This window comes from Homo sapiens, chromosome 4 (genome assembly GCF_000001405.40).
Source record: "Homo sapiens chromosome 4, GRCh38.p14 Primary Assembly".
Lineage (NCBI taxonomy): Eukaryota > Metazoa > Chordata > Mammalia > Primates > Hominidae > Homo > Homo sapiens.
Window position 1 is genome coordinate 108524215 of NC_000004.12, and position 21562 is coordinate 108545776.

The following is a 21562-nucleotide window of genomic DNA, read 5'->3' on the forward strand; positions in this document are numbered from 1 at the left end:
GTCCACCTATATGCAAACTTTTTTCAGTAAGTATATTGAAAAAATGTTTTAAGATTTGAGACTATTTGAAAAAACTTGCAAACTGCATAGCCTAGAAATATTTTTAAAAATTAAGAAAAATATAGGTATGTCATGAATGCATAAAATATATGTAGGTAGTAGTCTGTTTTCTCATTTACTACCATAAAATATATAAAAATCTGTTATAAAAAGTTAAAATTTATCAAAACACACAAACAGAATACTGTATATGGCACCATTTACAGTCAAGAGAAATGTAAACAAGCATAAATCATAACTGCATAAAATTAACTGTAGTAATACCACACTACCATAATTTTGTAGCTGTCTCCTGTTACTATTGTGATGAACACAAGTGTTAAGAGTATCTGCTTAAAATGCCTTGTGATGCTAATCATCTCCACGTGAGCAGTTCCTCTCTCCAGTAAATTGTGTATCACAGTAAAAAGTGATCTTCTGTGGTTCTTGTGTATTTTCCACTGTATGTAGTGCAATATCATAAACCTTGCATAACACCATGGGACCCATACAAAGTGCCACTAGTGATGCTGGAAGTGCTCCCAAGAGGCAGAGAAAAGCCATAACATTACAAGAAAAAGCTGATTGCTTGATATGTACTGCAGATTGAGGTCAGGAGTTGCAGTTGCCCACCATTTTAAGATAAATGAATCCAGTGTAAGGATCATTGTGGGAAAAAAAAAAAAAAAGAAAGAAAGAAAGAAAAGAAAATGTGTGAAGCCATAGCGGCAGCTATTCCAACAGGCACAAAAACTTTGCATTTTTGCAAAAATCTTTTTCTCTCATATTGAAAATGCAGCTTTTATGTGGATTCATGATTGCTATAAAAAGGCATACCTATAGACTCTGATGTAATCTGAGAAAAACAAAGTTATCATGTAACAACTTAAAAAAAAGGAAGAAGAAGGATCTAAAGCTGGAAAGTTTAATACCAGTAAGGGATGGTTTGATAATTTTAGAAAGAGGTTTGGCTTTAAAAATGTCCAGGTAAGGTGCTGTGAAATGCACTTGTAGTCCCACCTACTCAAGAAGTTTGTGTCCGGAGGATCTCGAGCTTAGGAGTTCTAGGCCAGCCTAAACAACACAGGGAGACTCCACCTCTAAATACCAACAACAACAACAACAACAACAAAAACTGTGAAGATAACAGGAAGAGCAGCTTCTGCCAACCAAAAGGCAGCAGAAGAGTTCTCAAACACCATGAAGGAAATCATTACGGAGAAAGGATATCTGCCTGAACAGGTCTTTAACATAGACAAAAGTGCCCTATTCTGGAAAAAAAAAAAAAAATGCCACAAAGGAAATTTATTAATAGGAAGGACAAGCGAGCACCAGGATTTAAAGCAGGAAGGATAGGATAACTTTACTATTTTGTGAAAATGCAGTCCATTTTATGATCAGGGATGCCCTTATCTATAAAGCCACTAAAACTGTGAGCTTTGAAGGGAAAAGATAAACATCTGCTGCCAGTCTTTTGGTTGTACAACAAGAAGGCCTGGACAATAAGAACACTTTTTCTGAATGGGTTCCATCAATGCTTTGTCTCTGAAGTCAGAAAGTACCCTGCCAGTAACCTTTTAATGTTTGCTATTGGACAATGCCCCAGGCCACCCAGAACCCCATAGGTTCTTCTTTGCTTCAACACCAAAGTTGCCAAAATGGTCTACTTGCCCCCAAGCACAATGTGTCTAATTCAGCATCTAGAGCAGGGGGTCAAAAGGACCTTTAAAGGTCATTACACATTACTGTAGGGAAAGGATAGTCAATGCCATGGAAGAGAACCCCGATAGAAAGCATATCATGAAAATCCAAAAGGATTACACCATTGAAGGTGTCATCATTGTTATAGAAAAAACTATGAAAGCCATTAACCCATTTATGACTGAGGTTGCAATTTTTTGAATTTTTGCAATCAGACCTTGGTGATGACCTTGAGTAATAGGATATAAATAACTCCCACATGCTTAGGGTTCCAATAATGGAACACTAGGCATAAATGAGTTTAAGCATGAAAAAAATTAATTCCTACTGGAGAAATGGTGTTGATATTTGTACAATTTATGATGGAGTCAATCAAGGAAATCATGAAAGAGATTGTGGATATGGCAAAAAAAAAAAAAGGTAGAAGATGAAAGGTTTTAGGATATGGGTTTTGGATGAATTCAAGCTCTAATGGACACCACACCAGAGGAAGAAACAGAAGAAAACTTGATGGAGATGAGTGCTCCTGAACCACTGCCACACTGTGAGGAAGATGTAGAAGAAGCAGTGTCAGAAAACAAGTTGACATTAAACAAGCTGGCAGGAGGGTTCCAATTATTCAAGATTGCTTTTGACTTATTTTATAACATGGATCATTTGATACAAGCACTGAAACTAAAGCAAATGGTAGAAGAAGGATTGGTACCACCAGAAACATTTTTCAAGAAACGGAACAGCAAAAATGTCATATAGAAATTATAAAGTATTTTTGTAAAGCTATACCAAATGTACCTGCCTCCCCTGCCTCCCCTTCCACCTTCTCCACATATTCCACCTCTGCCACCCCTGAGACAGCAAGCCAAACCCTCCTCTTCCTCCTCCTCCTCACGCTACTAAATGTGAAGATGACAAGGATAAAGAATTTTATGATGATCACTTCCACTTAATAAATAGTAAATGTATCTTCGCTTCTTTATGATTTTTCTTAATAGCATTTTCTTGTCTCTGGCTTACTTCATTGTAAGAATACTGTATGTAATACAAGTAACACACAAAATATCTGTTAATTGACTGTTTATGTTATCGGTAAGGCTTCTGGTCAACAGTAAGTTATTAGTAGTTAAGTGAGGTCAAAACTGCACAGGCGGGAGGGGGAAATCAGTGGTCCTTAATCCTGAATTGTTCAAAGGTCCACTGTATATTGTTATAATTGTTCTATTGTGTTATTATCTATTGTTGTTAATCTCTTGCTATGCCTAATTTATAAATTAAACTTTATCTTAGGTATATATGTATGGGAAAAAAACATAGTAGATATAGGGTTCAGTTCTATGCACAGTTTCAGGCACGCACTGGAGGTCTTGGAACATATCCTCTATGGAAAAGAGGGAATTACTGTACCATCACACCAGGGATTAGAAGTTCAATATAGGAATTTCAGGTGGGAGAGGACATGAACATTCAGTTTGTATCAGTGAATGTTTTGGGTTTTTTATGACTGCATCTTTTTCCTTCTCTCTTAGGTTTAAGCCATGCTTTTCCTTTTTCTAAGCTCCTCCATCATCATATCTACATGTTCACCATGTCCACGTCCATGACAGAATTCACTGTTGGGTTCCTTCCTCAGACTGCCATTTGTACATGCTTCCCATTGTTTCCTTTTATACATCTAAAATCATGTTGGAGCTCTAGGGAAGAAAATGCCTTTTCAGATGTGACCAGAAGAGGGGTTCCATCTACAGAAAGGACTCTCCTGCCAGGAGAAAAAACTTATTTCTTGGGTATGTTTTAATCTTTTAGTGGTATTTGTGCCTTAACTGAACCATATGAGATTAAATTTTTTTGTCACATAGAGGGGGGAAATGGTTGTTAGATTAATTTTCCATTCCATTTTTGGCAGTAGGCACTTAGCCTCCTCCCCCATCAGGAAGGAAGTTTGTGGGTGCACCATAATTTCTTGTGGTGTTAAGCAGCCAGAGATGGTCCAAGTTTGAAAGCAACTGTTCGTGCAGACCTGAGTGCTTCTTTACTTGGTCTCCAGGACACCGCTCTTTCTTGGCAATGATTAGCCACTTCTACAAAGCTGCTTTTGCTGGTTCCTCTTCATGTTCCCAACCTCTAAATATGGGAATACCTGAGATTTCAGTCCTTTAATCTCTTCTCTATTGAATCTACATAATACCATCTCTCTGATATCATCCTCTCTTCCTGACTTTAAATATCACCTGTAAGCTGATGCTTCCAAATTTCTACCTCAGTCTGAAACACTTTTAAACTCCAGATATCTATCTCCTCTTGTATGTCTAATAAACATATAAAACTTAACATGTCCAAAACTGAGCTCTCTGTTTCCCTCCCTAAATGTGCTCTCCTTAAAATTTTTCTCCATCTCAATAAATGATAACTTCACTCTTCCAGTTGTTCAAGCAAAAGCCTTGAGGTCATCTTTGAATCATCCCTATCACATTCAACATCCAATCCATCAGCCAATCCTTCTTGCCTTTACTTTTAATATCTATTTAGAACCTGTCCACTTCTTATCACCTCTACCATCACCTTATGACAAGCTACATCATCTCTTCCCTGGATTATCAGAATGGCCTCCTGACTGGTCTCTATGATTTTCTTCCTTACCTCCTATAGCATATTCTCTACAAAAGGAACTATCCCTTTAAAATGTTTCACGTCATATCACTTCTCTGTTTACAACCCTCAAAAATGTCCCATCTCACTTATGAAAATAAACTCCAACATCCTTTTCATTGTACTATGACCTAAAGGGCCCTATGTGATCTGTCCACCTGCTATTATTCCTATTAATTCTGCTAGTCCTCTCCTCACTTAACCCACTCCAGTTAGGGTTGACTTACCCTTTAGGCAGTTGGCATAGTGCCGAAGGTCTGAGCCTTGCTTTTAGGAGCCCACAAAAACGTTTAACTTCTTTTAAAAAACAGAAGAAAAAATTCTAGGTTAAAAAACTATATTTTAACATACAGTGTTAATTATTTGTCTTTATATCAACACAGTCATAAAATATAATTTTTAGTATTGTTTCAATGAAGGAAAGGACCCACAAAGACAAAGGCATCCTAGGGTACACGAAAATCCTAAGAGGCCCCTGGGAAGTTTGGGCTGAGCTGGGAAAGTCTGACTATTTAATATAGTGGGCTAAGTAACTGCTCCCTGCTTCTTGATTTTGTGTCTCCCATTGGATCCTGTTTTTCATTGTTCAGCAACTGCTTTTCTTCCTTGTGCTCAGCTCTTTGAACTTTGCTTCATACAAAGAGTGAGGGCCTGCTATCAACTGAATGGAATCCCACCTTGAGGTCTCTCCCCACGGCCCATCACACCTTCCTTAAGGATCTCCACTGACCTCCTGGGTACAGTGAGACAAGGCAAAAGGAAATTACCCTAAAGGAAACAAAGAGGTGAGACCATCAGACATGGAGCTGAGCCCAGCTGGTTGCCTATTTAGCTCTGAAAATCAAAATAACAACAAAAAACCTTCTTACTATTATATGTGGCCAAATTCCTTTAATTAAGAAAACAGATCTTATATTTTCAACCTTAACATTTATATGACTTTTTTTTTGGCCTTTTCTTTTATAAAGCTTTCCTATCCCCTTGTATCTCAATGAAGATGAAAGATTCACCTGTAATTTTCTCCTCCAATAATTACAGCTTTCAAATATCAGTAAGTTATAGGTTATTGCTATTATGACCTGAAAATTACTTATAAATCTAGCCAGGCCAGTACCTTTATAAGAGATCAGAGAAATAGCTAAAAACATCCTCTCTGGAATTAAGAAGAAATATTCTGGTAGGAAACTCTAAGATTAGTCATAAATTGGTCTTGCAAAATCAGTGTTATTGTAATAAGCATATATGAAAATTTACCCATGATGCATAGTCTCAATCCTAATTTAACTTGTCCTAATTTAACTAATCCTAAAATAACTAATTTTACTTCCATTTTTATTATGTGTAAAAATAAGTTCTTTCTATAATGTTTTGTACTATTGGCCTACTTGCTTGCTTGCTTTTCCATGCATTGCAATATTTGGGAATGGATTACAAAAGATGCTTGGATAAGTAGCACTGAAAGCTGTTAAAAACAGAACATCAATTCCGGAGTATGTTTCTATTTGGATGCACATGAATGAAATAATTGAACTCTCAAAGTTCTTTTCATGCCCTTAATTCAATGAAGCAATTCCTGAAGCAACACATTCACATTTCGTAGCCGATTTACATGTTTCCTTTTGCTAGCCTTCTCTTTTGGACTAAGTTTTCTCCTTACTAATGTCAGTTCAAACTGGTGAGACTTCAGACAAGTGGTTTCTCAATCCTGATGGCACAATAGAGTGATGTGGGGAACTTTAGAAAAGTTCTGATGATCCAGCCCTGCCCCTAGAGACTGTGATTCAATATTTTGAGTGTATATGAACCACTTGGTTATTTGGTTACTGTGTCATCAAAGCAGGTTAAAAACGAGGGGAAAAGCCATTTTTTCTTCAGCCTGGCTATCTTGACAACTAACAAATTAGTTTTTACCCCCAAAAGAAAAGAAAAGTGAGACCAAAGATATTTTTACTTTTAGTAAATAAAGTGCATCAATTCTCAAAAGGTGCTTGGCCCTTTAAATGGCACGGCAATGCATAAAAAGACAGTTGGGTGAGGCTACATGCCCTTCATATCCATTTCAACACCTACCTCGGGTCCCAAAATAAATATTTTTAATATTGTCTCATTCTGGACTGTTCCAACATGCACTATATCAGCTTGTCTGCATATTCTAATGTAACCGCGAACAAGTTTCCAGCAGCTCATGTATTTTCAACAGACATTAATTCCTCATTGCATATATTCCACCTTTGAAAATTACACCAGCAAAAGATTGCAAGATGTAGTACTGACCAGCACAGTATTCATGAGGGGTGAAGATCCAATCTATGGTAGGGAAAATACTGCAGTTTTCCACACAGTAATTACAGCTAAACTCAATTATACAAGCTAAACTCAATTATACGAGCTAAACCCAATCCTGTTCCCTGGTTTCTTCCTGGTTTCCAAGGATGTGGTGTGATATACCTTAGGGCCATTTGTCAGGGATCCTCAGGGTTGTTGGTGGATATGGCTATTTTCCTTCTTTCATTTATCTCAAAGAAGTAGATGAGGCAGAGGAATGAGGGAGGGGCTGCTTTTTAGTACATTGTATTCTTCCTCCAGTTCTGCTAACAGGAAGGTTGAACGCAGCCCTGCAGGAAATTCTCCTTTTGCCACTAAGCCCTTCTAGGGTCAAGGGTGAGAAGACAAGGGATCAGTATCACTAACCCCTATCTGTGCTGCCTCGGTCAACCTTCTGTTTCTGGGTTTCCACACAGAATTCTATAGCATTAAGAGTCTTTCTCACCCAAATAAGGACATTTTTAAGGTTGGTTTAGTCTGGGTGGAACACAGAGAGAAAAAAATTGAGTTAAAAAATAAAATAAAATAACCTCCATAAAATTTTTCTTATGAATCTGGATTTTCAAAATTATACCACAGCATTTTCTCCTTTCAGCATTCTCTTCTCGCAGTTGGTATAAAATAAGCAACAATATCCTCCTTTGTAGCCTCTCTTCTCTGTGTGTAGCCCTTGGTTTGTGCAGAGGAAGTTTTAACCCTCTATGAGGTGAATGCCAGGAATCGTTTTAGGATGATTTACCAGAAGTCAGCCAGGAAGCTGACATGGGCCTGTTTGTAAAGGAAGAAGTACAGAGCCAGGGTATTTTGTGTCACTGTGAGAATGTACATTGACCTTTGTTAGAGAAACAGTTAATATTATTATTCCATTATCACACTTTCAAATGAGAAATTTAACCTCACATTTGTCCACTCTTACATCCCTCATGGCACAGTAAAGAGCCTTCTCTGGTTTAGTGCAGAACCACTAACTGTTAAAAAGGTGAATGAAGCTGCTCCCCAGTCCCCGCTTTCCCTCAGCTTCCTTCGCAAGCACAGACAAGATCAGTGGTTTTGTTATGGTCACCCAGCGACGCGAGCTTGGAACCAAGTATCTTTTTTGGTCCTCATAGTGTTCATTCATTCCCTAAACTACTCCTTTTTCTTCTGGGAAACAGACATTTTAAATTGTAAGCTACTAGAAGACAGAGACTGTGTATTTTAACCTGTCTGGTAAAATGCCCAACTCAAAGCAATGGAAAATACCAACCTGGAAGACAAGAACCCCAGAATCTAGGCTTGACTCTGCCACTAACCCTTGCAAGTCATTCTGCACAATGAAGGAATTGGATTATATGAAATCTAAGGTCCTTTTTGTTATAGCTCTAGGCTTATGCACCTGAGAACTATTCATCAATGACGTGAACTGTCAAACACCACTGTGGAGCCTTTCCATCACAGGTACAGCTACCGCCCCGCTCTTCCTCCGCCCTGCCCAGCACACACTGCTCAGCTTTGAGAGACTCCAGCTCAGCTCAGAAACCATAACTGGCCTTATTTTTATTGCCTCTATTCAAGGCTATAGGACTTCATCACTACTATGTGTTTTGGCTATGTTTTCTCACTCGTGAGAGATGAAAAAACAATTGCCAGCCAGGTGCAGTGGCAGTCTCCTGTAATCCCAGCTGTCAGGAGGCTGGGGTGGGATGATTGCTTGGGTTCAGGAATTCGAGTCCAGTTTGGGCAGAAAAAAAGAAAAATGGTCATTTTCTAAATTTACATTCAGAAACTCTAGCAATGGTGTATAGTTCTAGAGAAAAGGGTGTTCTCAAGGGAAGAGATACAACGGTGTTGTTGTATTTATTCATTCATGTTTTCAGAGCCTTTAAAAGAATAATGTGCTTGTTATTTAAAAGGTTCTGATATTCGGAGAAAACAAATATCATCAGGGTGCACTGGCTGTACTGGTTTTTGCTCCAAGGGCAGGAAACAGCTTGGCCAACTTGAGAATAAAATATGCTTCTCCTCAGCAGCTAAGCTTGTTAGCCTCCCCTTCTGATGGGAGGAACAGCATTGCATACATAATGTAGACATGCCAATGCTTGCTCTTTTTCCAGAGATTTTAAATATTTCTCCCAAGTTTTAATCCCACAAATAGATTCCAAAATAGAAAAAAAGATTATGTTCCAATGTTTCCACCATCTTTGTCCCTCAATTTTTTTTTTTTTCCTAGCAGACATTACCCACGTATACCCTCAGGGAAAGGAAAGCTCTCATCCCATCAACTTTTTGACGCCTCAGGAACCCACTTTTTCCAGAGAAGATTCTAAGTGGGTCATTTCCCTTTTGTGGCTTCACTACAAATTCCATCCACATACTTACCCCCTATCCTATTTTCAGAATTGAATGGCCAACTCAATTCCATGAGGGCTTGATTAGTTCCAGTTAAGGTCACAGTTGTCACTTAAGAGCAGTGGACTTTTTGCCCCCTCAAAGGCTACTTTTTATCCCTACCTCCACCCTTTCCTCCCTTTTCCTTTTCCCTCTCCTTCTTCTTCAATAGCGCTGTGTTATGAAGGGCCTGGCCACACACAGAGAATATTACAGGAATAAAACCTGGAAAAGAGCACACGGTTATGAAACATTAAACTTCAACTTCTCTTTATTTTGCTCCCTGAATTCTCCTCCCCCTCCAAGAAAACATGAACCTCGACAGATTTGTGGTTCATGTTATCTTCAGCTGTAAAAGCCAGCTGAACCAACAGAGCAGCCCTTCTCTGTTTCCTGCTGCCTAGAGGTTTCAAAAGGGCTACTGTAAAGGAACGGTTACCTCTTTGGCCTTATGGACAACTTTTTTAGAAGAAACAGATTCAACTAGAATCACCCAGGCTAAGAACTCTGTACATTGTAGAGTTCTGTGCAAATGAAATCAATTAATATTGGGAGTTCTTCCATGCCAATTAAAGAAAGGATGGGCAAGGACAGGAAAGTAAAAACAGCGCCTGAATGCTGCTTTTTAAAGAAGTGATTTAAAAAAAAAAAAAAAGTTCAAGGATTTGTCCATTTCTTCAGTGAGGCCCAACATATGAACTTCAGTGGGAATTTGGCCCGAGGATAGATTGCCACATCAGACATTGATTCAGTTAAAGCTAACCCATTTAAAGGTGTCACCCATTAATTTATTGACTGCAAATAGGAATTTTGCCCAAGGCCAGAACTCACAATTGGTCCCAGTTGACCTGAAATGGATTTCCACAAGTGGCTGGGGAAAGGGAGTCTCTTTTTAGAATGTCTCTTCTTTGGTCCACTGTCTCTTTCTTTATCCTCTCTCCCCCTTTATGACATTAATAACAGAGCACTCAAAGAGCTTCATTAGTCGAAGGCATACAAACAGCTGCTCAAAGGATTTGTGACTGGATTGATCCTAAAGCTGCCAGTATAGACATTACATGTCAAAAATGATGATGTGAGCTTATCAGCTGCTTTTCAATTTTGACATTATTCTCTTTTCATTCTTGCCCATTTCATGTTATTGATTAAGTGTTCATTTAGTAAAAGAAAATACTTTACTCTTACAGAGTGGCTCTTTGCAGTATGTTGAAAGTCTTGGTTTATACATGTTTTCACATAAATATAAAATTATTTTTTATTCCTGAAACACATTTTTAACATGCAAGCTACAAAAGAAAGAATATTAAAATAGTATTTTTCTAGTATATGTGCTGCCAAGACGAGCACTAAAATAGTATTTTTCTGTGTGATGCCATATGTAGCATTCTTAATCAATAGTCTCACCTAGACAGGAAAATGAATACAGTAGTCATTTTATGAAGCTGCAAAGTGGGCCAATGTTTTGCTAAGATTAAAAAGTGACTCTTCTCTCCAATTTGGGGGCCATTTTTCAAATTTTCTGTGGCATGTAGCTAAATTCAAGCTGCATACATAAGACCTGGAGACCCAAAGGCTAAAAACCAAATTATTTCTACCTTAGAGAAACAATTGCATAGGGTATACAAGGAAGCATATACAAGGATGCAGCATTTATTTGCAGTAGCAAAAAACAAACAATAACTTGGAAACCACTTGTAGATCATAGAGGAATGACTAAATAAGCTATGATCCATCTAAGCCACAGAACACTACAAAGTAGTTCAAAGGAATGAGATGGAGCTTGCATACTGATAAGGATCCATCTCTAAGACATAAAATTTTTTAAAAATATATTGTTTATATTAAAAAGACATACTTACAAACATGAAACAATACTACGTAGTTTCTACCTAGAAAAAGGTCTGTTAAGAAAATGTAGTAAACTGGGAGAGGTTGGGATGATTTGAGATTAAGAATAGTGGTGAAAGCCAGGTGCAGTGCCTCATGCCTGTAATCCCAGCACTTTGGGAGGCTGAGGTGGGCGAAACTCTTGAGGCCAGGAGTTTAAAACCAGCCTGGCCAACATGGTGAAACCTGTCCCTACTAAAAATTAAAAAAAAAAAAATTAGCTTGGCATGGTGGTGTGCACCTGTAATCCCAGCTAATCGGGAAGCTGAGGCATGAGAATCACTCAAACTCAGGAGGTAGAGGTTGCCCTGAGCCGAGATTGTGCCTGGGCAACAGCGCAAGACCCTGCCAAAAAAAAAAAAAAAAAAAAAAAAAAAAAAAAAAAAAGAAGGGTAGTGGTGAAAGGGGAGTTTAGCCTGACATATAATATTTTCAGTTTTTACAAAGAAACTGTATCCATGTTATTTATATAGTTCAAATTTAAGTCCTTTTAAACAGTCACAGTATTAAGTGGTACTTTAAAAAGCATTGACTTCTTGCATTGCTTATTTAACTAAACCCCAATATTGTCCTGAAAATCAGCTCTTTTTATGAGAGTTATTTAGTCCTGAGGTTCTGTTGTAAAGGAGCAGTGGGAAGAAAGAGGATAAACAAGCTAGAATTTGAATTAAACTTCAGCATGGAATAAAACACCAACTTCCTTCCTTCTCCACCCTCTCTTGGATCTGAGCCCATCACTGTACTTCTCAGTGGCCACCCTACGCACCCTGACAGACATAGAATTCTAGAACCACAAAGCACCTTACAAAACCTTTGCGTCGACCCCTCATGTTTAGGTGAGAGTGCTGGTTTGCTCAAGTTAGAATCTGTTGTTCCTCTTGACTCATCCTATTCTCTATAGCCTCATTTTATAACCCTTTTGGGAGTGAAATGGAGTTGGGCTCAGTCCTTTCTGTTTAACTGGACAGAACTCCTCTCACTAATTTCAACAGAGAAAACTGGTGCTTTTTCAGAGCTGTTTACTTCCATTCTCTGGGGAATTAGTTTGTTTAATTGTATTTTGAAGATTCCAGTTCTACAGAACTCGATTTCTTTAGTTTATCTCTCTTAAACTCTCAACTTCTCTCCCCCTCTCACTCTCTCTTTCTGTCTCATCTTTGCTTTATTTTTGTCTTCCAATCTCTCTGCTTTTCTCTGTCTCCATGTATTTCTGTCCCTTTCCAACCTTATTCCTTCTGTCATGAACATGTTCTATTTGTTTTTTGGAAAGATGTTCTACAAAGTAAATTTTTATGAGATAAATTTTAGTAATACTTTACTAATTAAAAATATCAACTCAAAAAAAGTTAAGACCGGAAGGTAGATTTAGTTTTAATGAAGTGTTCTTCTTTTACCTTGCTTTTATGTTGCTCCTTTTTATCTCTTCATCAAGGAAACTGTATTCCTTCAAACCTCAGAGTATAATAAATAACTTACAAGGATGCACAATTGTACATTACTCTCTTGACAGGGTGACTCAACACTGATAGGTATTATCTATATTCTTTAAATGGTTCCCTGCAGGACTAAGCCCTGTGCACATACAGAAATACAAAAGTACACAGGATAAAATGTCTGGAGGTGACTAAGCTGGCCCATTGTTATTTCCTTGCAACAACAGTTTGCTTATGAAATTCAAGTACTTTCAAAATGACATAAGCAACTGAGGAACACATGTCAACGCTCTGTGATCTGGAGCCTTCCAAGGTAGCTCAGTAAACAGCGCATCTCTCCAGGTGAGCTTCTAGGTATTGTAGCCCTTCATGGGCTCCAAGAAGAAATGATGGTGGTCAAGCTGGCTGGGAGAGGCACGAACTGTACTGAAGCTGTGTCTTCCCAGCCTGCTTAAGAAACCTTTTTGCCAAGTGCATTTCCAAAGAGGGAATTCCAAAAAGGGACATTTCTCAGGTAGTGAATCCTTTGAACTTGAGCCTTTTGGCATTTTCATTTACATCTGCTTAAACAGACACATGACCAGCATTTATCAGTCTAGCACTTGCTGGGGCATTCTTCCTTCCAAACCGTAAAAGGAATCTGTGATAAAATTATGATTTTTTAAATACTTGACAGGCTGGGACCTGTAGAAAACTCAGAGTTCTGGCAGAAATATAAAATCAATTGAGTTTCATCTGAACCATTCTTTGCCTTTTGAGACCCTTTGATAAATCTCAGATGGAAATTCTTCAGTCTCACAGAAGCTTAGGAGGGTAACTGTACACTTTGATTTTTGACTTTATCATGTAATTGGGGTGGCATTTTTATTGACAGGTTGTTCACTAGATCAGTGGGTTTATTAATCTCTTTTTCTAACCAAGTAACTTGATAGGACTTCATTTAAAAGTCATTGTAGTGGCTGTAACTGGGCTCACCTTGGGCAGAGATCATAGGTTGCTGAAGTCGACATTTTCTTATAAAGACCCCATACAAACAGGACAACAATCCAATCAAGTTGGGAAAATTGGGGAATTTAACATGGCTACCATCTTCTTATTTTTGAATGACTGCAACTGTCATCTTTGCTTGCAGAGGGAGAAGGAAGATTAATCCACTCTCCATACTCCAGCAAGGGTAATCTTCCTAAAACGCAAATCCTATCATGTTTATACCCTGCATGAAATCCTGGAGTATCTCTCCATTTCTCTTAGTATAAAGACCAAAAGACTCACCATAACATCCAAGATCTTCCAAGCCTTGCCTACCTTTCTAGGCCTCTCCTTTGCCCCTCACACTGTAGACTCTGCCATCTGACTAGTTGCTGTTGAAGGAACTCACCAGCCTCCCTCTTCTTTCTTGACCTTTAAACATGATCGTCCTTCTGCTTGGAATGCCCTTCCCATGCTCTTCAGCTGGCTAAACCTTACTAGCCTTTCAGGGCAGTTTAACTATTACGTCCTTCACACTTTTCAGGAGTTCATGGCATTTTACCCACCACTTACTTTGACCCTAGATCATACATGCCTTGTGAACAGAAATTGTGTCTTAAATCCCAGTGTTTATTGCAATATCCATTATAATACATCACACATTTGTTTTTCTCCCTAGTATTTATCCAGCTCTGGAATTATGTTGTCTGATGTCTGTCTTCCCAGCCAGGGCAACCTCCCTGACAGCTTGTCTGGCCCATTTATAGCACCTAGAACAGCTTGGGGCACACAGTAGGCATTCAATAAATATTTGCTGCCGGGTGTGGTGGCTCACGCCTGTAATCCCAGTACTTTGGGAGGCCAAGGCGGGTGGATCACCTGAGGTCAAGAGTTCAAGTCCAGACTGGCCAACATGGTAGAACCCCATCTCTACAAAAATACAAAAATTAGCTGGGCATGATGGCGAGTGCCTGTAATCCCAGCTACCTGGGAAGCTGAGGTGGAAGAATCGCTTTAACCTGGGAGGCGGAAGTTGCAGTGAGCCGAGATGGTGCCATTGCACTTCACCGTAGGCGACAGAGCAAGAATCCATCTCAATTTAAATAAATAAATAAATAAATATTTGCTTAATTAATTGTATCTAAAAAGCCTAACGCAAGGTCCAGCAGTTACTTAGACTTCACCGAATCCAATGAACCACTGATGGTGAAATGCACTGCAATTTTATATACCATTAAGAAAGATAAAAAAGGGTGGAAATGCCTCCAAAAAGCATGACATAATGCTTAATAAAACAATGACATTATAATTTCTTCTTGGATATATTTTTCTATTTGGTATAAGAGACATATTTAGTCACAGATATTTATCTTATCTCTTACACATACATAAAAAGAAAAATATAAACAAAAGTAATTGGTTCAATTTTCTAAACTTCTTTATATGTGTGAGTCTAAATTTGCTGAATTACCTTTCAAATAGAGTGATCAGTGTCCCTGACTTTCCCACAGTATCCATCTTCTGTACCATCTAGAGTGTTGGTGCTACACTATTTCTTAAAAGAGTACTCCTCTATTATCCCTGGGAATTTTCATCCAAGCCGCTGACACCTACCATTAGGCAAGTTTGAGGGCTAGTTCCTTACCGATTTTTGCCAAAGGTTAGATTTCAAACAATGGCCCTGATTCATGTGCCTTCCTCAAACATAAACGTCAGTTGACAGAAACACGAAGGGGCTCAGTTATCCAATTGTGCCACCAAAAAGAATAGCCAACTAGTACATCATGATTGCTTCTAGCTGACAGTATTTGTAAGCCACCAGCAATGTTAAAACTGATCACAGTTTTAGAGTTAATAAAATGTGACTATGTGTCTGATTTAGAATCAATGCAATATAATATTAATAGTATATGCTTAGTAAGTATTGTTGAATGAGTGAGATTGACAGAGAGGAAGTACATAGAGAAATAGATCTAGGAAGTTACTCCCCAGTGCATAAAAAATTTCATATTCAAACTCTTCTCTCATTGACTGAAAAATACTATGTGCCAAGCCCCAATGCTTGGTTTATTTATATACATTGTCTCATTTAATTAAATAATATAACACATAATTTCCAGGTGTTATAATCAGTTCCCAAAGTAAAAAACAGATCTACTTTAGGTATTATTCTGTCTCCAGAACTCCACATTGACCTAGACTCACAACAATATCACAATGACCATTAATTTTCATAGTTTTGCAATCAGAAAATATCTTCATAATCATTAAGAAAAGATTGAGTTCAGCATAGTTTTATTGTCAAAAATATTCTATAATAATTCCAAAAGACTGATCATCTGTGAATTGTGCACATATTTTTTAATTAAAAATTTTTATTAACTTGAAATGTTCCATATGGTTTCAAAAATCAACTATTAGAGCCAGGTGCAGTGGCTCACACCTGTAATCCCAGCTACTTGGGAGGCTGAGGTGAGAGGATCACTTGACCCCAGAAGTTCAAGACCAGCCAGCAACATAGTGAGACCCTGCTTCTAAATAAATAAACAAATTTTAAAGAATCACCTATTAAACTGAAACGCAAGGACCTATGTTCTTAACTCAAAGATGGGATAAATAGCTAGAAAAATTCATTTCAGTCTTGGATTTGAAAAGGACTGGAATGGTACAAACAATTCCAAAAGATATTTTAAAACTGTCAAAATAATTATTGAAACAAAATCAAATTTAATTATCTCTAATTTTAAAATACTGTGTAAGCACGCTATGCAGGACAGGAATTAGGAGACTAGGTGTTGTACTCCAAAAGTTAAGAAATATCCAGTTCAGTAAAACCTCCACCCACATCTATTTAAGCTCAATTCTCATAAAAGCAGGGCTGTGTGCATCTGTGCGTGTGTGTGTGTGTGTGTGTGTGTGTGTGTGTGTGTGTGTGTTTTACCAAAAATACCCAATTATCAGATCGGTGATATTCACAGCTCTTCTGATGCTGATCTTTTCAGATGATGATCTTCAGATGATGATTTTTGCTGTTCTAAGTGATGTATTAATGCTCACTTCCTTCTAGCCACAGAGCCTTGGCCCCACAAGTTGCCTGGAGGCAGCTCTGACCTACATGCAGTCAAATCATCCCAGTCACATCAGTCTCCAGGGTGATTTGAAGTGTGGGTAGTTGACATCTAAGGGATAAGTGGGAGGAAGTTCTGTGGCTGGTCTGACAGTAAGGAGGCTAATTCCTGAAAGGCAGAGAAATAAAATGTCACTCACTCCTATGAGCCCCTGTGGTTTTCAGAGCAGGATCCGATGTGTTTTCTGCCACAGTCTTAATAGGGCAATAAGTGGAGAAGGAAATGGGTGGGAGTTCTGCAAGCTTGCCAATATGTGAATGCACCCAACAATGAAGACGAGCTTTTAGTTCCCTTCCCTGGTCACTAGCCACAATGTGCATGGTGGTCAGGAGCTCTGTATCCATATGGTGAGAGTGATGCTTTGAGGTTTTGCTTGTTTTTTAATATTAGAGTGGGCAGCTCTCAATTGGATTGTCAAGCTAATATACATAGCAGCATGAAAGCCCTGCATTTACAATTAGTTCCCAGTTGAAATGGAATTATCCTTACTAATGACATGAGGGACTTTCTGATTGGGGTTCGAGATTAGAGGCATTTATTTACCTGTGTAAAGGCCAATGCAGGAGAAACCTATATGACATGGTTTGGATGTTTGTCCCCTCCAAATTTCATGTTGAAACATGACCTCCAATGTTGGAGGTGGGGCCTAGTGGAAGGTATTGAATCATGGGGGCAGATCCCTCATGAATGGCTTAGTGCCATCCCCTTGGTGATGAGTGAGTTCTTGCTCAGTTAGTTCACTTAAGATCTGGTTGTTTAAAAGAGTCTGGAGGCCAAGTTCAATGGCTCACACCTGTAATTCCAGCACTTTGGGAGGCCAAGGCAGGAGGATCACTTGAGTCCAAGAGTTCGAGACCAGCCTGGGCAACATAGTGAGATCCTGTCTCTACAAAAACAAAAAAGAAATTAGTTGAGCATGGTGGCACCCACCTATGGTCCCAGCTACTTGGGAGGCTGAGGTGGGAGGATTGCTTGGGTCCAGGAGGTTGAGGTTGCAGTGAACCATGATTGCACCACTGCACTGCAGCCCGGGTGACAGAGTGGGACCCTGTCTCAAAAAAAAAAAAAAGTCTAGGACCTCCCCCTTCTCTCCCTTGCTCCTGCTCTCACCATGTGATATGCTGGCTTCCCTTTTCACCTTCCACCATGACTGTGAGCTTCCTGAGGCACTCATCAGAAGTCGAGCCCATGTTGCTGCTATGCTTCCTGTACAGCCTGCAGAACCATGAGTGAATTAAACCCCTTTTCTTTATGAATTACCCAGCCTCAGGTATTTCTTTATAGGAATGCAAGAGGGACTAGCATACCATACCTCAGGAGAAGGAGAGAATCCACGGAACCCAGGAAAGAAAAGAAAGCCATGCTCCCGGGGAATCTCTCAGTGGCAGAATTCCAGGCTCCAGTGGTCCATGTTCATCCTGTTGCCAGGGCCAATATCCCCAGCAGGCACAAAGGGCACAGCGACTAGAGACTCACAATATGTTTAGGGCCCATGGACAGATTTTTATTTCTTTAGAAATCCGGAGGAAAAAATAAAGTTTTAGGTCAAAGAACATGTTTTAATGGGTAATGTTAATACATTCACCTTTATTCTAACCTGGTCATAAAATATACTTTTTACTTTTTTTCTAAGGAGGAAGTGCCTACTGCTCCTGAAAGTTACCATGCAGCCTTGCCTGTGATATTAGGTTAAATGATACAATATTGCTGACAACCAATTGTTTCAGGTCTACGAAACAGTTTTGATCTACTTACTACATATCTCTCGGACGACCCTTTCCTGGTTTGTAGAAAATCTCAACTCAAGCCAGGTAAAGAAGGTAATCCATTTCTTTCTCTCCCTTTCTCCTTTTCTTCTCTCTCCTTTTTCTCTATTTCTTTCCCCTTTTCCTTCTATGTGTTTCCTGGGTAGTGGGTTCTCTGTCTCTCTCTCTCTCCCCTTTCATCTTCCCCTCTCCCCCACTCTCTCTCCTTTTTCACCTCTCCTTCTGTCCCTATTTTCTTGGACTTTCTTACAGAACCAGAAGATCAGTCATCTATAGTCCTCTGGGCTCCCCAAAGAACCTTGAACTGTCACAGGCACTCACTGTGCTCCTTCTACCCTCAATGCTATCTCTATCCTCTTTCTCTAAGTCATAGATGAGTTCCAGAAGAGATCAGAAAGACCAGGTGAACTCAGATCAGGGATATCCTTAAGCTCTCTGGGGGTTGGGGCAGGAGACAAGGTCCACAGACAAACTAATGTCTTTCTTTTCTTTTTCATTTTACAAACAGGATCTCACCTTGTTGCCCAGGCTGGAGTGCAGTGGTGCAATCATAGCTCACTGTAACCTCAGACTCCTGGGCTCAAGCAATCCTCCCCACTCAGCCTCCTGAAGATCTGAGACTACAGGCTCACACCATCATGCCTGGCTAACTGAAAAAAAAAAAATTTATCAAAACAAGGTCTCACTATGTTACCCAGGCTGGTCTTGAACTCCTGGCCTCAAGTGAGCCTCTTGTTTTGGCCTTCCAAAATGCTGGGGTAACAGGCATGAGACATTGCTCCTGGCCAGACTAATTTCTTAAACTGTTTTGCTCCTCCCACACTCTTTATCTTTAGTTGCTGGGATCTTGACCTGGTAGGGAAAGTGTGGAGGAAGGAGAAAAAATGATTCTACCTATTTGCTTATCCTTAAAAATTTTTCCCATTTTAATATTTAGGACAAAAATGTGATGTTAAATTTATTTTGCAAGAATTTGCATTTTTTCCTTTCTGATCTCATCATTGAAAACCCCTAAAGAAATGAATGCCCCCTGATCTAGCTACATAAATAGGAAGTCACCAGATAAATAAGGTAAAAAGGGAAATAAGGACCAGGGCATAGAGCACATCTGCTATAACTTCCCCTATCACTCTAGCACAAATACTAATTAAATCCATTAGGGACAAACCATAGAGTTGGCTGTCATGGCGATTCTGTGGATAGAGTCCTGTCCTCAAGGAACTACATTTAGTGGAGAAAAGTAACGTACATAAATAATACAAGAAAATGAACATAAATGAGGAAGGAGGAAGTGCTCAGCGGGGGATTGATAGAAAAGCAGCCAGTATCCAGGCTCCCTCTTGGCGATGAAAGGAGCTTAAAAGCTATTCCGTGGTCACAGATGATGGCGGATTATCCACTCCAGTCTGTGGCCCAATGAGAAGGCTGAGTGACTTCTGTTAAAAAACCCAGCCCAGAAGTGTGGTTAAATATTCGGGCTTAGAGAAGTACTGCAGAGCCTGGAGGAAGAGGACACCTTTAGGCAAGGTGAGAAAAGAAAGGAATGACTGAACTCTCATGATACAGAGCTGTGAAGGGAGAAGCAGTCAGAGACTACATGGATTTGGTTCAGGGCTTTCATTTATCTGAAGATGTCAAAGAACTTTTGTGTTACGGGCTTTCGGAAATTCTGGCAGAAGGCCAGGTGCAGTGGCTTATGTCTGTAATCCCAGCACTTTGGGAGACTGAGGCAGGCAGATCACCTAAGGTCAGAAGTTCGAGACCAGCCTGGCCAATATGGCAAAACCCCGTCTCTACTAAAAATACAAAAAAATTATCCAGGTGTGGTGGCACACGCCTGTAATCCCAGCTACTCGGGAGGCTGAGGCAGGAGAATCGCTTGAACCCAGGAGGCAGAGGTTGCAGTGAGCTCAGATCGTGCCACTGCACTCCACTTCATGTAAAAAAAAAAAAAAACTCTGGGAGAAGAAAATGAGGAAGGAGGCCATATTATTATCCAGCTTCTAGAGAGAGAGTAACAAAAGCAAAATGGTTAGCTTTGAATTTATAGCAAGTCATTAGTGGAACAAGAACTGCAGAGGAGAAGGCGCAACTTCCCTTTTGTGCCAACTTTGTCTGGACTTAAATGATGAATTTGGAAGAGTGAGGTGGAGTTGGGGAGTAGTAAAGCATTAAATAACCAACCATGACTAACTGCTGAGTTTAGCCTGAATGAATTCATTCTGCAAACATAGCTGTCATCAAAACATAGCTTACGCAAGACTCCCAAATGTGCTGCATGTCACAACGTATAACTACAAATCCATGCTTTCTCTGCAAGGTCATAATCAACTGTCTGTGGTGTAGCATTTGGTATGGTTGGATAACATGGAATGGTCGCCCCAGGTGATTTCAGTTTTTATGAAAGTAGAATAGGGTAAGCATTTTATTCACTGCGTTGTTGAAGATAGATTTGTGAGGTCAACAGAGTTTTGTGGCTGCTGTTTTTAATTCGAAGAACATGCTACAACAGAATACAGCTACCTTATAGTACAAACCCAAATTTTTATTCTAGTTCTGTATTGAGCTAGCTACATAAGGCATAATTACTTTATCTTAAAACGAGGCCCCTTCTAGTCTTAGAGTGCTATGATTACCCTGTTTGGTTATTGTGAACAGCCTGGTAGGCACTTTTCTCTGAGAAGATAGGGGAACAGCTGAGAAACAATGTAAGACACCATTAAATCTACTTACAACTGAAGGTAGGAAGAAAATTAATGAATTAAGTAGGGACTCTGTGGATTTCTTTCCTACTCTTTTCCTTATCCACTAATCCTAGCTTTCAAAAAAAAGGTGGGGAATATGTAAAATGAACTGCTATAAAGGGGTGAGCCATAGGATACTCAAACCTAGTACTTCTCCACCGAGCCCATACACCAAAAAAGGCATATAGATAGAAGTTTTGACCCACGCTTGTGGTATTTTGAAAATGGGCCACGTATTTAAGAAATACCAAATTATAAATATTAGCTATATATTAGAGCTTGGTCTAGACCAGGGTTTCTCAGCCTCAGCACTACTGACATTTAGAGTGTATAATTCCTTGTTGCAGGGAGCTGAGCTGTGCATTGTAAGATGTTTAGCAGAATCCCTGGACACTGCTCACTAGATGTCAATAGCAAACTGTCCCACCTTCTAATTTTGGTAATCAAAAATGTCCTCAGACATTACCAATGTCTTCTGGGTGGTAAAGTCACCCTCTTTTAAGAACCACTGGTCTAGACAAAATGATGAGGGATATTATAATGTTTTATTTTGATGTGTC

General features: G+C 39.3%; 1 long non-coding RNA gene across 1 annotated transcript in view; it reads right to left on the reverse strand.

Moving 5' to 3' along the window:
• Positions 1-13975: 13975 nt before the first annotated feature.
• Positions 13976-21562, reverse strand: part of RPL34-DT (RPL34 divergent transcript) — an 82268-nt gene continuing 74681 nt past the window's right edge. The window contains exons 3-4 of the long non-coding RNA NR_026968.1: positions 17805-18002; positions 13976-16600 (exon numbers count right to left, since the gene is read on the reverse strand). This is a non-coding gene — a long non-coding RNA (RPL34 divergent transcript). The remainder of the gene's footprint in view (positions 16601-17804; positions 18003-21562) is intronic.